This window comes from Homo sapiens, chromosome 4 (genome assembly GCF_000001405.40).
Source record: "Homo sapiens chromosome 4, GRCh38.p14 Primary Assembly".
Lineage (NCBI taxonomy): Eukaryota > Metazoa > Chordata > Mammalia > Primates > Hominidae > Homo > Homo sapiens.
In genome coordinates this window covers 232,573-256,026 of record NC_000004.12, presented here as the reverse complement: position 1 = coordinate 256,026, position 23,454 = coordinate 232,573, and the positions used below count along the sequence as shown (strand labels likewise).

General features: G+C 37.3%; 1 pseudogene across 1 annotated transcript in view; it reads right to left on the bottom strand.

The window, feature by feature from the left end:
- Nucleotides 1-41: 41 nt before the first annotated feature.
- The window catches only part of ZNF876P (zinc finger protein 876, pseudogene), a 43,386-nt pseudogene continuing 19,973 nt past the window's right edge, over nucleotides 42-23,454 (bottom strand). The window contains exon 2 of the transcript NR_027481.1: nucleotides 42-2,467. The product of NR_027481.1 is annotated as a zinc finger protein 876, pseudogene (transcript). The remainder of the gene's footprint in view (nucleotides 2,468-23,454) is intronic.

The following is a 23,454-nucleotide window of genomic DNA, read 5'->3' as shown; positions in this document are numbered from 1 at the left end:
CAAATATAACAATACACAAATTGTGAACTTGCATCTAAAAATTTGTGTACTAAATTTTATAAAAATCATTCTTATAATTTCTCACCAGCTCACATCGTAAATAATAAAGTAAAAACAAAAGAAGAAACAAGTAAATTATAGCTGTAATATGAGTAACAAATGAAAACAATTTACATGGGGAGAGTCTCAACAATTAGATTTTACAGTAATTAAATCCAAAGAAATATAGATTTGATTTCACAATGTTTTAGGTTTCTAGATTTCTAGTAAATTATCCACCTTATAAAAGAATCTTCTTTGTTCCAATATTGATCTTTTCTTTGGAAAATAGGTACAAACTCTCACACAAACACTATTGCTTGCTCTGTAATTTTCTTACACCTAACGGTTTATTTTTAGAGCAATACATTTATATATTTAACTTCATGTAAATAAAAATGAAAAGTCCGTATGTGTTTGCAGGACAAGACACTACATGTTCAAAGACAAATATGAAACATTTTTTTTAAGTATTCATTCAGGACTCAGAAACATATGAATTATACTTTGATATATTACAATCACAAAACGATCTGTAGTAAAAAATAATTGTACATTGAAAAATAAAGTGTATAACTGGACTTGTGTAATACAAAGAATAAATACTTAAGGTGATGAATATCTCATTTACTCTGATGGATTTTTTCTTTTTTTGGAGACGGAGTCTCACTCTGTCGCCTAGGCTGGCGTGCAGTGCAGTGGCGCTATCTAGGCTCACTGCAAGCTCTGCCTCCTGGGTTCACACCATTCTCCTGCCTCAGCCTCCTGAGTAGCTGGGACTACAGGCACTCACCACCATGCCCAGTTATTTTTTTGTATTTTTAGTAGAGATGGGGTTTCACCATGTTAGCCAGGATGGTCTTGACCTCCTGAACTTGTGATCCGCCTGCCTTGGCCTCCCAAAGTGCTGGGATTATAGGCATGAGCCACTGCGCCTGGCCTACTCTGATGGATTATTACATGGTGTATGCCTGTATTCAAATAACTAATATATGCCAGAAATATGTACATATACTATGTGCCTACAAAAATTTTAAGAAATAAAGAAAAGAACATGGAACAATATTCTTCACTTTATTTGCTGTTTAAAGCCAAAGGAAACATATTACTAGAAATGTCATTCAACTATGTTATCAACTATGTTTCTCACCTGTCTGAATTCTCTGGTGTACAGTAAGGGTTGAGGACCAAGTAAAATCTTTGCCACATTCTTCACATGTGTAGGGTTTCTCTCCAATATGAATATTCGTATGTTCATTCAGGCTTCTGGACCATCTAAAGGCTTTGCCACATTCTTTACATTTGTAGGGTTTCTCTGCAGTATGAATTTTCTTATGTTCATTCAGTGCAGAGGACTGTCTAAAGGCTTTGCCACATTCTTCACATTTGTAGGGTTTTTGCCCAGAATGAATTCTCTTATGTTTAGTAAGGTGTGAAGATCTATAAAAGGCGTTGCCACATTCTTCACATTTGTAGGATTTCTCTCCAGTATGAATATTCTTATGTTCAGTAAGGTGTGAGGACCTATAAAAGGCTTTGCCACATTCTTCACATGTGTAGGGTTTCTCACCAGTATGAATTCTCTTGTTTATTAAGGGATGAGGATTGAGTAAAGGCTTTGCTGCATTCTTCACATTTGTAAAGTTTTTGTTCAGAATGAATGCTCCTGTGTATAATAAGGCTTGAGGATTGGTTAAAAGCTTGACACATTCTTCACACGTGTAGGGTTTCTCTCCAGTATGCATATTCTTATGTTCATTCAGGCTTCTGGACTGTCTAAAAGCTTTGCCACATTCTTCACATTTGTAGGGTTTCTTTCCAGTATGAATTTTCTTATGTTCATTCAGAACTGTGGATTGTCTCAAGGCTTTGCCACATTCTTCACGTGTAGGGTTTCTCTCCAGTATGAATTCTCTTATGTTTGTCAAAGCTTGAGGATGAGGTAAAGATTCTGACACGTTCTTCACATGAGGGGTTTCTCTCCAGCATGAATTTTCTTATATTTAGTAATGCTTGTGGACCTATTAAAGGCTTTGCCACATTCTTCACATTTATTTGTAGGGTATCTCTCCAGCATGTATTCCCTTATGTTAAGTTAGTTGGAGGAACTTGCGAAATGATCTGCCACATTTTTTACATTTAAATGATTTCTCTCCAGTATGTCTTATGTTGTTTGAATTTGAAAATTTATGAAAAACTTTGACAGATGTATTACACTGAATTATTTTGCTCTGGGTAGTTGATAAGCATTGGTAAAGTCCATTATAACCTCCTTTCTGCACCTTACACTTATTCACACTTTTAGAGCCTTTCCTTAATTGTAAATTCTTCTGTCCACATTTCTCATATCTTCTCAGTATAAGTTTGTGGAATGAATCTTCTATGCCCTGCACTGGCCAAAGATCTTGGGTAAAATGAGAACACACACCTGAAAGAAAAATAACAAATTATCCCACTTACTAGATTCATATGAATACACTTTACATATGAATATACTTACTTTACAAATCTAATATATATATACTTATACAAAGTACATTAGTAAGATGGCACAACAAAATACCACAGGCCATAACTCCTTCACAGACATATACATGTAACAAACATATACTCATCAAAATGCTTTTGTGCAAAATCTCGAAATGAGTTAATTGTATGTAATGCCTCAGGTAAGAACAATGCCAAGAGCCACATAGAATGCAAAGGAAAATTTGTTACATTTACACAGCCCTTCCTCCTCCCCAGTATAGCATTGTGTCTTTAGGAGTAAACTGCCAATTCCTGGCTTCTTTCTTTAAAAATAAGAAAAATACTAACGCACACATCATTACTTCTGGCTTTTGGTAGTCTTTACAAAAACTGGTTTCTGTCTCCAATAATACAGAGTGCTGAAAGAAACAGTGGTATATTTTGAAAGGACAGCTTGGGATTGCTGAGACAAAATGTAAATGTTTCAGGAGCAGACTGCAGTGTTAAATACAGAAAGTAGGTAGGGCAAGTGATTAGAGACTGTTAAGAAGAAACATGAACAAACCCTTTTAACTGAAAAACATGAAATTCCAGACAAGACACATCCTTAAAACATGTATGGGAGGCTCCCATAATCTCTATCAAAGACAATTGGTTTCAGACTATGTCAGGACAAAGCAACATTGTAAAGATTGTGACAAATGGCTTTTTGTTAATCTTCAAATAACAAGCAAATATTACAATGCATACAAAATATTAGGGCAACATGGCCAAATTAAAAAATTTAAAGATTTTCAGAAAACAACCATAAAAAATGAAGATGTACAAATTTTTAAAATTTAACCTGAATAATTCTCAATGAGCTAAATGGAAATACATACAACTAAATAAAATCAGAAAAATGAGAATCAATGAAAACATTAAAAACAAAAAAAAGACATCATGGAGGTGAAAAATACAAAAATAATGACAAATTTTCAGAAGCAAAAGAAGGATATAAAAAATGAAGCTCAACAGACTTCAACTAGGGTACACACACACAGATTTATAGCAAGGCACATATATAAGCAAAGTTTCAAAAGTCAAAGACAGGAAGAGAATCTTAGGAGCTGCAAGATAAAAGTGATGTGTCATAAGTGTGGTCTTAAGAGATAACCAGTGAATCTGTTGATAAATTTTTTTCAGACCAGAAAACTGTGATAAAAAGTGCTGAAAGAAAAATAGCTTCTAATTGGGAATAATATAACCAGCAAAACTGTCTTAAAAATGAAAAAAAGGTAAAGACTTTTCAAGATAACCGAATGCTCAAAAAGCACATCTGCCTTACAAAAAAATTCTGAAGGAAGTATCTGCCACTGAAAATAACAATGCAAGAAAACAAAACATGATCATATGAAAATACGTAACTTTCTGAAAAAGATATGCACATACACAAATATAAGGTTCTGTACCATTATAATATTGCAGAAAACATTTTAATCTCTAAAGTTTTAAAGATAAAAGCATAAAAATAATCAAACTTAATCATAATCTGTTAATATGCAACATAAAATATGATTAATCACACCAATAACAAAGTTGAGGGCAAATGTATGAGGAAGAATTTTCAAATGCAACTGAAGTTCTTAGCATTTTAAGATATATTAACTTTATGAAATTTTATGTAATCCCCAAGATACCACAAAGTATCTATAGATACACAAAAGTATAAGAAATCCTATCAATATAAAAATAAAAAAGACACAGAGGAAGACAGAGAAAGAAAATAAGGGACAAAGGTATAATCATCAAGTAAAACAATTAAACAATGACTGCCCTTCTAATTAAGCAAATTATTTAAGTATTTGTGAAGTAAACTTTCGATTCAAAATAGATGCCACCAAATGGATTTAAAAAATTAAAAAACAAGATCCAACTTGCTTTTCAACAAGAATCACTTGAGATCTAATGATTAAGGAGACTGCAAAAGGCAAGATGAAAGAAAACATTTCATGCAAATAATCAAAAAAAGAAGTCAAGATTATATGACGCAAAGTACATCTTAAGTCAAAACTGTTATATTTCATAAAATATTCTTTAAAAGCACAAGAGACCAAGAAGGACATTAAACAACAATAAAAAGTTTCATTTACTGGGAACCCACGACAAATGTGTGTATACATATATAAATATGTGTGTGTGTGTGTGTGTGTGTCACATTAGGGTTCCAAATATAAAAATAAAACACTGACACAGCAAGACATAGAGAGCAATATAACTATAGTAGATTTTTTTGTTTTTGTTTTTTGAGATGGAGTCTCGCTCTGTCGCCCAGGCTGGAAGGCAGTGTCATGATCTCGGCTCACTGCAAGCTCCGCCTCCTGGGTTCATGCCATTCTCCCACCTCAGCCTCTTGAGTAGCTGGAACTACAGGCACCCGCTGACACGCCTGGCTAATGTTTTGTATTTTTAGTACAGATGGGGTTTCACCATGTTAGCCAGGATGGTCTCGATCTCCTGGCCTCGTGATCCACCCACCTTGGCCTCCCAAAGTGCTGGGATTACAGGTGTGAGCCACTGTGCCCGGCCTATAGTAGAATATTTCAATACCCCAATTTCTGTAATGAATAATCAAAAAAGACAGAATACTCATAAGGAAACAGAAGACTTGAAGCACTATATGGCAGTTATGTCTAAGAGAACCATAGAGAATACTCCTCAATAACAGCAGGATATACACACTTCTCAATAGCTCATACAATGTTCTCCTTGGTAAACCACCTGTTAGGCCACAAAAAGTCTTAAAATTTGTTTTTAAATAGAAATTTTACAGATAACTTTTAATGACCAAGGTGGAGTGAGAGTAGAAATTAATAAAACTATAACATTTACATATTTATAGAAATTAAAAAATACAGTCCAGCATGCTCTTGTTCAAATTTTGAAATATTATGAAGATGTCTAGACTGCTCAATGTAATCTACAGTTTAAGTGAAATCCCTGTCAAATTTCTAATCAATTTCTTGCAGAACTAGAAGTGGCAACCCCAAAGTTATATGGAATTTCAAGGGACAATAAAGCACCCACGAATTAAAAAAACAAAAAAAATTGGAGGCTTCACAGCTCATGATTTCAAAACACATACAAAGCAAACGAATTAAAACAATGTGGTATGGATATAAAGCTGAACAGCTAGACCAATAAAATCTGGCAAAAATATACACCATCACACATATGGTTAAATGAAGAGTAATTTGTACACTCATAATTATTGTAGCATTGTTACTGAAAGCAAATAAATGAAAGCAATGCAAATTTCTCTCACCAAATAGATGGATAAATTTGTAATATTAAAATAATGAAATACTACTGTTTGTAAAAAGCAAAAAAAAACTCTAAAAGTATAATAAAGATAAATCTTGATGACATTGTGCAACATGAAATAAGTCAGCCACGAAGACACAGAAACTGTGTGAATCAACTCACATGAGATATCTAAAGCAGTTTGACTCTAAAATAGAAAACAGAATTGTTTTTGTAAAGGGCCAGAAAGTAGAAAATGTAGGTAGTTGTTTAATGTGTAGTGAGTGTTAGCTTTGCAAGATAAACATATTCTAAAGATATAGTACATAACAATGTCAATATAATTAATATGACTAAACTCAATATTTAAAAATATTTGATTGTAAAGTTTGTGTTTTTGACAACAATTAATATCTAAAATAGACACAGAGGTATGGCAGTTTTTCAAATTATCTTCACATCACAAGTGTTTCTCCCCCACACACAAAAATATAGATTTACAAATAAATAGAGGGTAAAATTAGGAGAATTTCAGTGACTACTCACCTAGGCAGGGTAAAACCACCATTGTACACACATAAACAGAACAAGTATACAACTCATATAACACTACAGGAACAATATGCATACAGATAAACACAGAGACTCAGAAATAGACTTATAACTGATCCATATATGACTTGTGCTCCACAGTCTTTTTATTTTTTATTTTTATTTTTTGAGATGATGTCTCGCTCTGTCACCCAGGCTGGAGTGCAGTGGCAGGATCTTAGCTCACTGCAACCTTCGCCTCCCAGGTTCAAGTGATTCTCCTGCCTCAGCCTCCTGACTAGCTGGGGTTACAGGTGCCAACCACCACACCTGGCTAATTTTTGTATTTTTAGTAGAGAGAGGGTTTTGCCATGTTGGCCAGGCTGGTTTGAACTCCTAATGCCAAGTGATCCATCCACCTCAGCCTCCCAAAGTGCTGGGATTACAAGTGTGAGCCACCATGCCAAGTCATGCTCCACAGTCTTACAGTGTACAAAGTTGAATATTGTCATACACAATGAAAACATCTTTGTCTTGTCTGAGATGTCAGAAAAAAAGTGCTCTGCTACTTCCTGTTTAGGATGATATCAGTCATTGATTTGTCATACATGGCCTCTATTGTGTTGAGGTATATATCATCTATACTTAATTTGTTGAGTTTCTTAAACCACAAAGGCATGTTGAGTTTTGCCAAATACTCCTTCTACGTACACAATAAAAATAAAGATATCTAGATGTCTAACAGCAAACTTAATTAAGGTAAACACTCTCTACACTGAAAATTATATAACATTGATAAAAAAACTGAAAAAGACATGAGAAATTGAAAGATATTTTTTGCTCATGAATTGAAAAAATATAAAAGTTGCTATAGTACACAAGATGATCTACAGATTCAATGCAATCTCTACCAAAGTACCAATGACTTTTTTCACAGAAATGGAAAAAACAAGCTTAAAATTTATGAGGAAGAACGAAAGACCCACAAATGGTGAAAGTAATCCTGAGCCAAAAGAACAAAGCTGGAAGCATCACATTACCTGGCTCCAAAACATACTATAAAGCTGTAATGAGCAAAACAGGATGATACTGATATAAAAACAGATAAACAGGTCAAAGTATCCAGTGAGCCCAGTAATAAATCCATGAACCTAGAGCCATGGGATTTTCAACAAAGATGTCAAGAACGCACATTTGGAATAAGACTGTCTTTTCAATAAATGGTGCTAGAAAAATTGATTATTTACATAATAAAAAAATGAAACTAGGCCCCTACCTCTTATGATATAAAGAACTCAATCACAAATAAAGATTTAAATAGGAAACCTAAACCTGTAAAGCTATTTGAAGTAAACATAGAGGAATGTTTTACCAGATATTGCAGAAAAAAGAATTTTTAACTAAGACCTCAAAACACACACAAAAATATGCAAATGGGATTACAATAAATTAAGAATGTTTTGCACAGCAAAGAAAACAATTAACAGAGCGAAGAGATAATCTATAGAATGAAAGAAAATATTTGCAAAATATACAGAGGTAAACTTACAGAATATATAACAAACTTAACAAATATAACACATAATTTGAAAATAGGGAAGAGACCTTAAGAGACATTTTTCTTTCCTTCTTTTTTTTTTTTTTTGAGACAGAGTTTCACTCTTGTTGCCCAGACTGGAGTGCAACGGCACTGTCTAGGTTCACTGTTGCAGGAAGTCAGGCACCCCGAATGGAGGGACCAGCTGAAGCCACCGCAGAAGAAGATAAATTGTGAAGATTTCATGGACATTTATTACTTCCCCAAATTAATACTTTTATAATTTCTTATGCCCGTCTTTACTGCAGTCTGTAAACATAAATTTTGAAGATTTCATGGACATTTATCACTTCCCCAATCAATACTCCTGTAATTTCCTATGCTTGCCTTTAGTCTCTTAATCCCGTCATCTTCATAAGCTGAGGATGTATGTCACCTCAGGACCCTGTGATGATTGCGTTAACTGCACAAATTGTTTGTAAAGCATGTGTGTTTAAACAATATGAAATCTGGGCACCTTGAAAAAAGAACAGGATAACAGCGATCTTCAGGGAACAAGGGAGATAACCATTAGGTCTGACTGCCTGGGAGCCAGGCAGGACAGAGTCATATTTCTCTTATTTCCAGAAACGGGCAAAAGAAATATTGCTGAACTCTTTCCCTAGTAAGGAATATTAATAATTAACAGCCCTGGGAAAAGAATGCATTCCCAGAGGGAGGCCCCTAAAATGGCCGCTCTGGGAGTGTCTGCCTTATGCAGTTGTAGATAGGGATGAAACACAACCTGGTCTCCTGCAGCGCCCCCAGGCTTGCTAGGATTAGGAAAATCCAGCCTGGAGAATTCTAGTCAGACTGTTTCTCTGCTCTTGAACCCTGTTTCCTGTTAAGATGTTTATCAATGACAATGTGTGCCCAGTGGGACATGAAACTTCATCAGTAATTCTAGTTTTGCCCTGACCTTGTGACCTCGCCCTGCCCATTTGCCTTGTGATATTTTATTGCCTTTGAAGCATGTGATCTCTGTGACCCACATCCTATTCATACACTCCCTCCCCTTTGAAAATTGCTAATAAAAACTTGCTGGTTTTGCGGTTCGGGGGGCATCACGGAACCTGCCGACATGTGATGTCTCCCCTGGACACCCAGCTTTAAAATTTCTCCTTTTATACTCTTTCCCTTTATTTCTCAGGCCGGCCGACAATTAGGGAAAATAGAAAAGAACTTACATTGAAATATTGGGGGCTGGTTCCCCCGATAGCTCACTGCAACCTCCGCTTCCTGGGTACAAGCGATTCTCCTGCCTCAGCCTCCTGAGTAGCTGGGATTACCGGTGCCTGCCACCACGCCTAGCTAGTAGAGACAGGATTTCACCATGTTGGCCAGGCTGGTCTCAAACTCCTGACCTCAGGTGATCGCCTACCTCTGCCTCCCAAAGTGCTGGGATTACAGGCATGAGCCACCCTGCCTGGACTAAGAGACATTTTTCAAAACAAGAAATACAAAAGGCCAAGAAGAACATGCAAAGATGCTCAACATCACTATCAGAGGTATGCAAATCAAAGCCACAATAAGATATGACTTCACTGCAGTTAGAATGACTGTAATTAGAAAGGCAAAAAAGAATTGTTAGTGAGAATGTACAGAAAAGTTAACATATGCGGCTGGTAAGATTGTAAGTTAGTACAGCCATTATAGAAAAAAATGTACCACAGGGTGACATATATTTAAGCAATAAACATCGTAATTTAATATGGTTTTTTTGATTCTAAGACAATAAAACACTGATGACCATGTAAGAAAGAAAGAATTCAAACTGCTGGATCATATGTTGCAGAAATTAAACCAGATACACTGAGACAAATACCACATGATCTTACACATATGTGGAATGTAATAAAAACACAGATGGTGAAGGATTCATGCAACTGGTCTTAGCAGTCACTTTTTGGATATGACATCAAAGGCTCAGGAAATAAAAATATGGACATACCCATAGTACTACATCACTATATCCAAACTATTCCAAGAATATTTAAAGCAGGACTTTAAACAGATATTTACACATGCATGTTCTTCATTATTATTTACACAAGACAATTCCTGGAAACAATACAAATGGCCCTTTAGAGATCAGTATTAGATTTTTAAAATGTGACATATACATATAATGAAATATTATTTCATTTTAAAACAGAAAGATATTCTGACACATCTTACAAAAACAAAGCCTGAGAACATTACATTATATAAAATAGTCAAAAAGAAACAGACATTATATAATTACACTAATAAGAATATGGAAATCAGCCAAAATTATAGAAACAGTAAGTAAAACGGTGTTCTTCAGGAGCTGAAGAAAAAGAAAAAAAGGGCAGTTTATTGTTTATAACGTATTAAATTTTACTTTTGTAAGATAAAATTAATCTAGAGATCCATTGCAGAAAAAAAAAAAGTAAACGTACTTAATACCACTAGACTGTATGCTTGAAAATCTTTAATGTAGGGAAGAGAGAGATCAGACTGTTTACTGTGTCTATGTAGAAAAGGAAGACATAAGAAACCCCATTTTGATCTGTATTTTGAATAATGATGTTCAAAATTCTCTGTTGGAGAATGTGCAGTAGCAAAAATCAAAAGTTGGAGTGGGGTCAAGTGACCTATTCTATTTAACTTGTGCTCAGTGAATTTTTTCTTCAACTAATTTAATTTTTTAAGTTGCTTCTGGAGTTAATGTTCTTTTACTATTCAATTTCGGATCCCCTCTTTAGAGAACAAATTTGACATGGCATAAGTAGGGACGCCTAGAGTTGGCCAAATTTAATTAATATCTCCTAGCAACTTTTGAAAGTCATTTAATGTTTTTACAGTGAGCCAAGATCCCGCCATTGCACTCCAGCCTGGGTGACAAGAACGAGACTCCATCTCAAAAAAAAAAAAAAAAAAAGAAAAAGAAAAAGAAACTCATTTAATGTTTTAAATGTGTCTTTTCTTATTTCTGTTTTTTGTGGTTTAATTTTCTTTTCCTCTACATGCATCCCTAAGTAATGGAAAGGAGTAGAGGTTTGAATCTTATCAGATGCTCTTGTCAGTCCTGGGTTGGCAACCTCTGCAGAAATGTGTAACAGTCAATTAATTTCTCTCTTGTTTCTGCAGCACACAAAATATCAACATAATGATATAACAGTCTGAAAACTTGTCTGTAACTTGTTGAAGAACTTCAGCTACAAAAGTCTGACAAATAGTTGGACTATTAAGCATTCCCTGAGGCAACACTTTCCACTGAATTCTGGTGGCTGGTTATTATTTATGGCTGGTGTAGTAAAAGCAAATTTTTCAAAATCCTGTTTTGCCAGAGAAATGGTAAAAAAGCAATCCTTCTGATCAATTATAATTAAAGGCCAATCTTTGGTGATCCTGGCCAGATAGGGCAACCTGGGTTGGAGAGCCCCCATGGGTTGAATTACAGCATTAATAGCTCTTAAGTCAGTCAGCATGCGCCATCTGCCGGATTTTTTCTGAATTACAAACAGGAGAATTCCACGGCGAAAATGAAGGCTCACTATGTCCCTTTTCTAATCGTTCCTTTGCGAGTAAGTGTAAAGCCTCCAGCTTTTGTTTTGGTAGAGGCCAATGATTTACCCATACAGGTTTTTCTGTTTTCCAAGTCAACGGAATGGGTTTTGGAGGCTCTAGAGTGGCCACTCCTAAAAAGGATACCGTATTCCTTTTCTTTCTTGATTTCCCTCAACCTCAGTTGGGACTTTAATGCTGCCTCCATTCTTCCCTAGTCCCCTTTTAGGGAGATATCCCATTTTACTCATGATTTTTTTGACTCATGGGGCTGTATAGGGAGGCTGGGATAGTAATCTCTGCATGCCACTGTTCTAACAAGTCTCGGCCCCATAAGTTGATTTGAATAGAAGTGATCATGGGTTGAACTGTACTTTCTTGATTATCAGGTCCTAGACAATGTAAAATCATGGCACTTTGATACACTTCTGAGGCGGTGCCCACACCGACAAATCCTGTAACAGGCTTTTGTTTAGGCCAATTTTTTGGCCATCTATTTAAGGCAATGATAGAGACATCAGCCCCGGTATCCACTAATCTTTCAAACTGCTTTTCCTGAATAGTGACTGTACACACGGGTCTATCCTCTGAGACCCGATTATCCCAATAAGCAGCTTTTCCGGCAGGGTTGGTACTTCCAAACCCTCCTGTTCTGTTTTCTTTTCCCCAATTTGAATATAAGGCAAAAGCAGTATTTGAGCAATTCTATCATCACCTGGATTGTCGCTCCAGGGAACAGTGGAGCTGATCACTAACTGAATTTCCCCTTTATAATTTGAATCAATTACCCCAGTATGAATTTGGACTCCCTTCAAATTTAGACTTGATCTCCCTAAAATAAGGCCTACTGTCCCTTCTGGCAGTGGGCCATATGCCCCTGTAGGAGGAATCTTTTGTTGGGGCTCTCCAGGGAGTAAAGAGACCATTTGAGCGGCACATAAATCTGCTGTGCTGCCTGCTGTGGCAGGGGACAGCTGTTGTATTGTTGTAATCGGTTGACTCCCTGAAGTGGTGGTATTTGCTGTGGGGGTTGTCCCTGAAAACCCTGAGGAACAAACAGCTGAATAAGGAATGCACCAGTTTGTGGCGGGGCCTGAGACTGGCCCCTCTTCCCATTTCCCGACAATGGTTGCCGATTTTTATCAAATTTAGAATGACATTGATTAGCCCAATGTTTTTCTTTTCCACGTCTTGGACACAGGCCAGGTGGCTCTTTATTTTTTGCTGTAATAGCTTATTATATTCTGTTTATTTAGGACTGGGCAGTTCTTTTTTAGATGACCAATTTGAACACAATTATAATATTTTCCCCCAAATGTTCTAACTTGTCCTCCTAAAGTGACCCCCGTCATTGCTCGAGCCATTAGCATAGCCTTATGCATAGCTCCTCCAATCCCATCACAAGCCTTCACATATTCTATAATTACATCAATTCCTGCTGGAACTTTTCCTTTTAATGGCTTTATGGCCAACTGACATTCTGGATTTGCATTCGATAGGCCATTAATTCTACAATAACTTTTTGGGTGTTATCATCTGTAATAGATTTTTGAGCAGCATCTTGCAATCTTGCCACAAAGTCAGGATATGGCTCTTTAGAGCCTTGTCTAATTGAATTAAAAGAAGGGCAGGCTGTTCCTGGGTCCTGAATTTTTTCCCAGGCCCTGAGGCAAATAGCCCTTACTTGTTCAATAGCCTCATTCTGCATTACTGATTTTTGGTTAATGGTGCTCCACTTTGGACCTGTTCCTAACAATTGGTCTACATCTATATTAACAGTGGGATTTGTAGCCTGATTTTTTCGTACCTGTTCTTGTACTCCATTCCATCAATCCACCAGGTTTTAAACTGTAAATGAGAGGGTGAAAGGGAAGATTTAGCCAAAATTTCCCAATCATAAGGAATAAGTCTATTTCCATGAACAATGGAATCTAATAATGTTCTCATGTAAGGGGAGTTGGGTCCATATTGTTTATAACTCCTTTCTTCATATCTTTTAACATTTTCAAGGTGAAAGATTCATATCTAGCCTCAGCTTGGGTAGGCACTCCTACTTGTCTCTTCCCCGGCTGGTACCGGTTGTAAAATTACTGGGAACTGCCATGCCTCAAGATCTCCCTGTTTTCTGGCTTAATCAATGATTTCATACAGTGTGCTACATTGTCCACTAGGTGGTGCTGTAGGATTAAGCGCCACCGCCGTGGGTTGCTGAAGCTGAGATAAGAGGCATATTTACTTTCAGTTTGTCCCATCGTTACCCTGGGTTCCTTTGAGCGCACAAGCTTACCGCAAGGCTGACCGTGGATGTACTCAGGAATCTCTCGTCGACTTGTCCTCACTGCTCATGTTCTTAGCGTACCTTCACCCTAGAGAAAGGCACCCACGTTGGGTGGCAGATGAAGGCGTGGCCTGCCCCTCCACACCTGTGGGTATTTCTCATCAGGTGGTATGAGAGACTGAGAAAAGAAATAAGACACAGACACAAAGTATAGAGAAAGAACAGTGGGCCCAGGAGACCGGTGCTCAACATACGGAGGACCTGCACCGGCACCAGTCTCTGAGTTTCCTCAGTGTTTGTTTATTAATTACTATTTTCACTATCTCAGCAAGGGGAATGTGGCAGGAAAACAGGGTGACAGTGGGGAGAAGGTCAGCAAGAAAACATGTGAGCAAAGGGATCTGTGTCACAAATAAGTTCAAGGGAAGGTACTATGCCTGGATGTGCACGTAGGCCAGATTTATGTTTCTCTCCACCCAAACATCTCAGTGTAGCAAAGAGTAACAGAGCAGCATTGCCACCAGCATATCTTGCCTCCAGCCACAGGGCGGTTTTCTCCTATCTCAGAATAGAATAAATGTATGATCGGGTTTTACACTGAGACATTGCGTTCCCAGGGGCATGCAGGAGACAGAGGCCTTCCTCTTATCTCAACTGCAAGAGGCCTTCCTCTTTTACTAATCGTCCTCAGCACAGACCCTTTATGGGTGTCAGGCTGGGGGATGGTCAGGTCTTTCCCTTCCCACGAGGCCATATCTCAGGCTGTCTCAGTTGGGGGAAACCTTGAACAATACCCAGGCTTTCTTGGGCAGATGTCCTTGCGGCTTACCGCAGTGCATTGTGCCCCTGGTTAATTGAGAATGGAGAATGGTGATGACTTTTACCAAGCATACTGCCTGTAAACATATTGTTAACAAGGCATGGCCTTCACAGCCCTAGATCCCTTAAACCTTGATTCCATACAGCACATGTTTCTGTGAGCACAGGGTTGGGGCTAAAGTTACAGATTAACAGCATCTCAAGGCAAAACAATTGTTCAAAAGACAGATCAAAATGGAGTTTGTTATGTTTTCCTTTTCTACATAGACACAGTAACAGTCTGATCTCTCTTTCTTTTCCCTGGCATTTTCATGTTTTTCATCACAATTAAATATTTAGATCTACCTAAAAAGGTTACAGTCTTTAAAAATCACCTTCAAGTAAGAAAAGTGTTTCTCTCACAGAATAACATAATAAAATAATAGATGGTAATTTTACACTGACTACTCACCCACACAAGAAAACAATGATGAACACCCAAGTAAATAAATACTTTATTTATTTATTTATTTTTTTGAGATGGAGTCTTGCTCTGTCACCCAGGCTGGAGTGCAGTGGTGCGATCTCGGCTCACTGCAAGCTCCACCTCCCGGGTTCACGCCATTCTCCCGCCTCAGCCTCCTGAGTAGCTGGGACTACAGGCAACCACCACCACGCCTGGCCCAATTTTGTTTTTGTATTTTTAGTAGAAATGGGGTTTCCCCATGTTAGCCAGGATGGTCTCGATCTCCTGACCTTGTGATCCGCCCGCCTCGGCCTCCGAAAGTGCTGGGATTACAGGCGTGAGCCACTGTGCCTGGCTGATAAATAATTTATAAACAACGTAGGGGCAATATATATACAGGCAAATACCACATAGATAACTTTCTTGGCAAGAGAAATGTCTGATTTATATATATGTTTTTTAATTTGCTCGAAGTGAAACCCAATGATATTTATTTGAATTAAACACCACATGGTCATAAGAGGTAGAGAGGTTGTTGTTGTTGTTGTTGTTTTGAGACATTGTTTCACACTTGTTGCCCAGGCTGGTGGGCAATGTTGCAATCTTGGCTCACTGAAACCTCCGCCTCCTGGGTTCAAGTGATTCTCCTGCCTCAGCCTCCCAAGTAGCTGGGATTACAGGCATGCGTCACTACGCCTGGCTAATTTTGTGTTTTTAGTAGAGACAGGGTTTCTCCACATTGGTCAGGCTGGTCTTGAACTCCTGGCCTTATGATCTGCCCGCCTTGAGTTCCCAAAGTGCTGGGATTACAGGCATGAGACACTGCCCCTGGCCAAGGTACAGGGTTTAAAGTTACCATACAAATATAAAGATTAAAAACAAACCACTAAAATGGGGTTGAAAACAAGAATAAAAATTTCTGACCTTTAAAATATTGAATATCATATAGATGTATCATAAAAACAATCCTTTACAGTTTTCAACTGTGACTATGTACTTATGAAGAGCTGGCATTTTGAATCTTTGGCATTCAAGGTACAGCAATAAAAGAAAATAATCTCAATAATTAATAAAATGCTCTGATGAGAATGAGGCATTTCAATACATTTACTTATTCCACAATTTGAAAATTTAAGCATTTTATTTCAGACATTTTGAATTTGAAATAAAAAATATTTGACACAGAACAATCAAAGTAAAACATACAAGGGGAGTGACATAGCAAGATGGCAGAATAGGAGGTTCTCTACCTAAATCTTATATGGTTATAAAAAAATGCAGCAGTTATGCCCTGGCAAATGAACCTTTATAGGAACTTTGGAATCCATGTCAAAAGGTGTAAACCCAAGACAGGAGGGCTGTATTGAGAGGGCATGCCCTTGCTTGAGTGGCATGCTTGCCCATCATAGTCCCAGCTACAAAATAAAATATGATTAATTCTCATTGTAAGTATAGCTGTAGGCCATTTGGTTTTGTTTATGCCACTAGCACCATCTGCCAAGACACCAAGGAGGATTCATAATGTCCTGTGTCTCAGGTGAAAGGACTTTAGATGTTGCTCCTCTCTGTAGTCTCCTAATTAGCCCCTTGCACACATCTATCATGATGTGGAAGAAATCCTGCACATGCAGGAACCGACAGAAACATCCATCTGTGCCCCTGGATGTAGGCTTGCCGATATTTATTTAATGGTGGATCTTGATGTGGCACTATCATCTGGCTCCCAGTCCATGAAACCAAAGTCCAGAAGCAGTTTTTCCTAACCTGGGACCTGCCAAAAAACACACCTATATGTGCCCCTGTAGGCATGCTGGCTGACTTTATTCCCACTGTGAATCTTGAAGCAGTCCTAAAACCCAGCTCCAGTCCCAAAACCTACCTCCAGTCCCAAAACCTACCTCCAGTCCCTGTCAACTAAAGTCTGGGAGCAGTCCTGCCCACCCAGGAATCTGGAGGGAGAAATGCCGTGAACCCAGAAACAAACCTGAAGACTTTGGTCTCAGCTGTGTATCCTGAAGCAGCCCTATGAATCAGTTCCACACCCTCTCAGCTGTGACCAAGGGTCAGTACTTCTCATCTAGGAATCTGTCCAATGACTGGGTTAGAAGATTTCTAAAAACCCAGCAAGAGCCACACAGCAGAAGCCATACCTGCTCACATGGATTATATCAGCTCTGTCATCTGCATATACAACTGGAGACTTTTTTTTCTCAGCACCAGTCTTACTGATCAAGATCCTGAAGAAAGTTCAGTCTTCCTAGAAAATAGACAGAATCCACAACAGTCTGATGCCCTAATAACAGGTCTGCCAAGCATGAACTTCACTGTGATCCAGATCCAATGCACCTTACTGCAAACTCACTGGAAATCTCATCAGCACAGAGATCCAATAGGAGAAAATATTTACCACCCCAAACTAATCTATAATGACTGCAAGAGATATTTACTCCTTCAGATGCAAGGACATAAAAACAAGGCATCACAGACCATGAAAGATCAGGCAAATGTAACACCACCAAAAGAAACTAAAAATTCTCTAGTAACCACTTACAGTAAAACACAGATCTAAAAAATGGCTAAGAATTCAAAATAATTATCTTAAAGAATCTCAATGAGATGCAAAAAAACCACACATTACTAAATTTTTTTTGCAACAACGTATGAACAGAATCACAATTATAATAAAGAGAAACCATTAAAACAGAACCAGTTAGATATGCTGGAGCTGAAGTACACAATAGGAGATCTAAAATATTTAAGAGAAAGCTTTAACAGGAGACTCCGTTATACAGGAAAAAAAAAATCAGCAAATGTAAAAGTTATTTGAAAGTTCCTAGTTAGAATTTAAAAAAAGAATGCGAGTGAATAAAGCATTTGTCCCCCATATTTCATAATCAATGGTAAGGATGTACAATTTTAGGAGGTTCATGAGAAAGAAAAAAATTTTTAAATTGTTTAAAGATATAATGTCTTAAATTCTTCCCAATCTTGGAAGGAATATAGATATTAAATTTAAAAGCTCAAAATGTCTATAGCAAGAAGAATCTAACAGAAATTGTCCAGAACACATTATAATTAAACTGCCAAAATTCAAAGACAAACAAAAAAGAAAAAAAAAAGAAAGAATGAGTAATACCCAGTATGAGTATAATAATTTAGTTGCACATTTTAAAATAACTAAAAGAGCATAATTGGATTGTTTATAACCCAAATTATAAATGCTTGAGGGGATGGATATACCCCATTTTTGATTATGTGATTGTTACACATTACATGCCTGGATCAAGACATCTCATGTGCCACACAAATATATACATGTCCTACATACTCACAAAAATTAAAATTAAAAAAAGAAAACCCTTTACCTGGGGTTTGCCTGCAAAACCTAAAATAAAGAGTAAAAAGTAAAAAAAAAAAAAAAAAAGCAAGAGAAAAGAGATTCTTCACATTCAAGGGAACTCCTATAAGGTTATCAGCAGATTGCCCAGCAAAAACCATGCAAGCCACACAGGAGTGAAACCATATATTTAAAATGCAAATGAAGGAAGAAAAAGAAAAAACCTTGACAACTAAGAAGACGATACCTGACAGAGCTGTTCTTTAGAAATGAAGTATCAAAATCTTCTCAGATTAAAAAAAAGTTGAAAGTTTTAATCACTAGACCTGACTTACAACAAATGCTAATGAGAATTTAAGTTGTAATGGAATCCAAACTTACAACAAAATTATAAATCTTACTGAAAATCATATATACATAGTCGAATTTAGAAGGCTATAAAACTAATTATGGTGAATGAATTAATCACATTTAACTCTGGTATAAAAGCTACAAGAAAAAATTATTAAGACTACATATAGCTTCAATAATTTGTTAAAGGGTATACGATATAAAAAGATGTAGAGTGTGACATAAATACTATGTTGAAGGGAGTAAAATTGTTTAATTTTTCTATACATAGAAGCTAACTTTTGCTTGAGGCCAGGAGTTCAAAACTAGTCTGGTCAATATAGCAGGACCCTGTCTCTTAAATAAGTACATAAATAAAATTAAATAAAGATCTCAGAAAGCTATTTAGTCTTTTAAAAAAAGAAGCAGCTGGGCCTGATGGCTCATGCCTGTAATACTAGCACTTTGGGAGTCCAAGGCAGGTGGACTGCTTGAGCCCGGGAGTTCAACACCAGCCTGAGCAACTTGGCAAAACCCTGTCTCTACAAAAAATACTAAAAAAATTAGCCAGACATGGTGGCATGTGCTTGTAGTCCCAGCTACTTGGGAGGCTGAGGATTGCTTGAGCCTGGGGAGGTCAAGTCTGCACTGAGCTATGAATGTACCACTGCACTACACTGGGTAACAAAGCAAGACCCTATCTATACAAACCAAAAGCTAAATTCTTATCTGAAATTAGATTTTATAACTATGAGATGTTTTACATAAGCTTCCTGGAAATTACAAAAAAAACTGTAGTGGTTACACACAAAAGAAAAAGAATGCATATAACAACAAAAACAACAAAAATTCAAGAAAATACAGGGGAAGACAGCATGAAACAATGAAAAAACAAACTACTAAATGGTCAGAAAACAGTAAGAAAATGGCAGTAAGTTCTTATCAATCAGTAATTCATTTAAATATATAAAGATTTAGTTATCCAATAAAAACACATTGCTATAGTTTGAGCGTCCCCTCCAAAATTCATGTTAAAATTTAACTGACATTGTGAGAAAATTAAGAAATGAGGCCCTTAAGAGTTATTAGGTCATGAGCACTCTACTGTCATGAAAGGATTAGTATCAGTATTACCACAGTGTATTAGTCATCATGAGAGTGGGTCTATTATAAAAGTGAGCACTGGTGTACACCTTCTGTCATCCTCAACCCTTTGGTCATGTTGTGATGTGGAAATGTGATTCTCATCAGATGGGAATGACATGCTCTTGGACTTCTTGGCATCCAGGAGTCTGAGCTAAGTAAATTCTATTCTTTATGAATTACGAACTCTGGGATATTCTGTTATTGAAGCAAAAAAAAAAAAAAAAAAAAGGAAACATTCACAAAATGTCTGAATAGATTTAAAAAGTCAACAATATGCTGTGCACAAGAGACTTATTTTAGGTTTAAGGACGTACATAGGTTAATGGTACAAGGATGAAAAAGAATATTCTATGCCAATAATAACTAAAAGAGTGTAGGAGTGGCTATAATTACATCACACTAAATAGACTTCTAGAAAAAAATCTATCAGAAAAAAAGAATTTTATTGTATTGTGATGAGCCTAATTTGTCAAAACATAATTAAATATATATATGTACCAAACATTGGAGCACATAAATATATAAACATATATTAACAAAACTGGAGAAAGAAACAGACAGATATAATAGGGGACTTTACTGCCCTACTTAATACATGAGTCAGACAGAAAGCTAGTGAAAAAACAATGTACTTGCATTGCACTATAAAACTGCACCTAACAGACGTGTATAGAACATTTCATCCAACAGTATAATTTATATTCTTCTCAAACACACATGGAACATTCTCCAGGACACATCATAAATCTGGCCCACAACAAAAACAAACAAGTCTTTTCATTTTTAAAAAGATTGAAATCATATCATGTTTTTTAAATCACAATTTTATAAAACTAGAAATCAATATAAGGAAAAGTAAAAAACTTACAAATATGTGTATATTAAACAACATGCTTCTGAACAACCACTGGGTAAAGAAGAAAAAGAAAGAAAAATCACAAAGTATCTTGAGAAAACTGAAAATAGAAACAGAACATATCAAAACTGAAATGTAACAAAAGATGTTCTAAGAATTTTATAGTAATATATTTTTATATTAAGAAAAAAGATCTCAAATAATGAAACTTTAATCCTCAAAACACTTGAAAAATAACTAATCCCAACGTTAGCATAGTAAAATAATAAAAATTAGACCTCCAATAGAGATAAATTAGATACTTAAAAGACAACAAAAAAGATAAATGGCAGAGAAGTAATCTACATATAAAAAGTTTCTAAATCAAAGGTTTTTAGAAAAGGGAGCAGAGTAAATGCTCTTCCTTTATTTTCCAGTTGGAGGACTAAGTCTCATTTCTATTTTGCACTTATATTTACAATAACCACATCTGAAAACTCTGCTTCGAACTCATGGACATCTGATTTCCAGCATGGTCTGAATTTAGGCGCCTGCAGGGTAACCGTGGGCATACTGTCTTCACAGGAAAGAGGGTTTGTGGGGGAAAAATGCAGAATAGAAAAGGTGCTATCAAGAACCCATGGGTGAGGGTTGGTGCACAGTTGGTGAAAGAACTGGTTAGTGCTACAGATACTGGCCCAGGCAGGACAGCTCTGACTTATAAATGTGTGCATGCAGGGAGATAAGATGGTCAGGTGATCCAGAAGCCTAGGCTACTGCAGGAAAGAGGTTACTGGTGCAGATTCAAGATCTGGGAGATAGAAAGAAGCCATGAATCTTCTGGATACTTATGTGGCCTATTAGTGGAAAACTCTAGAAACAGAGGTTTTCTCAGCACAATTCCTGAGTGAAGATTTGTCATGAAAGAAGCATGGCCATACCATTGCTTAGCATGTATGTGTGTGAATGTGCAGAAATCACATTGTAGCAGCAGGGGGAGAGAAGAGTCTGCCCTCAGAACTCCTTCCTTTTAAGTCCTCAGTCCCCTGCGACCCCTGGAGGAGACCTAGAATCACAGGAGAATTCACTGTGTGACAACTTGTGTGCAAACAACAACAACAACAACAAAACAAAAAAGCCTCTCCATTCTACAACAGACCCAGTGTCTCCCTCCAACCAAGACTGCTATGATATCTTAATTTTTTTGAGAAAGGGTCTTACTTTGTCACAAAGGCTGGAGTGCAGTGGTATGATCTTGGCTCATGGCAGCATCAAGCACCCAGGGTTCAAGCGATCCTCCTGCCTCAGCACACCCCCAGGGAACTGGGAATATAGGTATGTGTCACCGTGCCCAGCTAATGTTTTTGGATTTTTGGTAGAGATGGGATTTCACCATGTTGCCCAGGCTGGCACTGAACTCCTGAGCTCAAGCAATCTGCCCTCTGTGGCCTCCCAAAGTGCTAGGATTAGAGGCGTGAGCTATCACACGTGCCCTGATATCTTTATTCTAACACCAAATATATGGAGTTTGCTGAACACCAACCAATCCTCCAACACCAACTGGGTGTCCAACAACTCAATTCTGACAACACCAGGGTCAGCATAGACCCCACTGGCTCAGGGCTTAGTCCCACAACACTGCTTCCACTCCACCTGCCAGTCACAAGCCCCAGGGGAACCCACCTATACTTCAGAGCAACTGTCTATAAATCATGGGCTTCCATAACTCCCTCCCTCAAGTTAAAGGATTTGAAAAAAACTACTCACAGAATTTGGCAAAAACACTTTACCTATGTTTACCAGGTTATTATATTGAATACAACCCTGTAAAAGCCAAAAGGAAAAAATGTATAGGACAAAGGAAAGCAGGGAAAACATGAGGCGGGCAGTGAATCATGGTAGTTAGACTAACATCTCTCAAATCCTTTGTGTTCTGCAAGAAAAGCTTACTGCAAAGAAATGCCCTCTTCATTATGACTTTTATGATGCTCCCTCTTTACATATCACAAATTCACAGATTCTACATTCTCATTTTTCCCTCATAAACAATTAAATATTTTTGTCTTCAGTGTTCAAACAGAATACTTGTTAACCAAACTGCTCAATTTTTTCTCCTTCCCCCAGGCCACTGGACTATGCTCCACCTTCAGTCTGAGCCAGCATACAACCCTCTTGATACCTCTCCCAAGAACAGGCTGACTTCAGGGTGAAACATTCTCTAATCTTGAATCTGATTTTGCTGTTCTCCATTCTGCCCTCTGCCATCTTCTTTCTAATCTTGTTTGCTCCTCCATATGAAAAATAGCCTTTATCTGTCTCATTTTGGAGGTGCTTGCAGATCTTATGCTTGGTGCTTTTTCCATTGCAATACTCCTTAAAATAAAGTCACTTCTTACCTACATCAGAATTTATTTGATGATATCTAGAAACAGCCCGATGACAATAACAATTACACCCTCTCAGAGGACATCACAACCCTCCTCCCTTCCCAACTCTCTCTGCATCTGCCTGTGGATCCTCAGCTTTCCAGGGCTCTGTAGCTTCTCAGTATAAAGACCCCTTTCATGTCTAATTTGAGCCAGGCTGGGACACCTGCAGAAAAGGTTCCCAGGAAGAAACTACTGGGCTATTGATGACCTCCTTTGGCAGGGTCAAGATTGGCCTTACCTTGCAGTCAACAGGCTTAGGTCTCTGATTCCCAGTCAAGATTATTCACTTAGTTTTATATAAAAGAACTCAGTGTTTAAAGAGTCCAGCAAAATTCCTCCAACTCATTGCTTATGTTTATAGGAGGAAAGGAGATTGTAAGGCACTTACATCTTATACTTCAACAAGA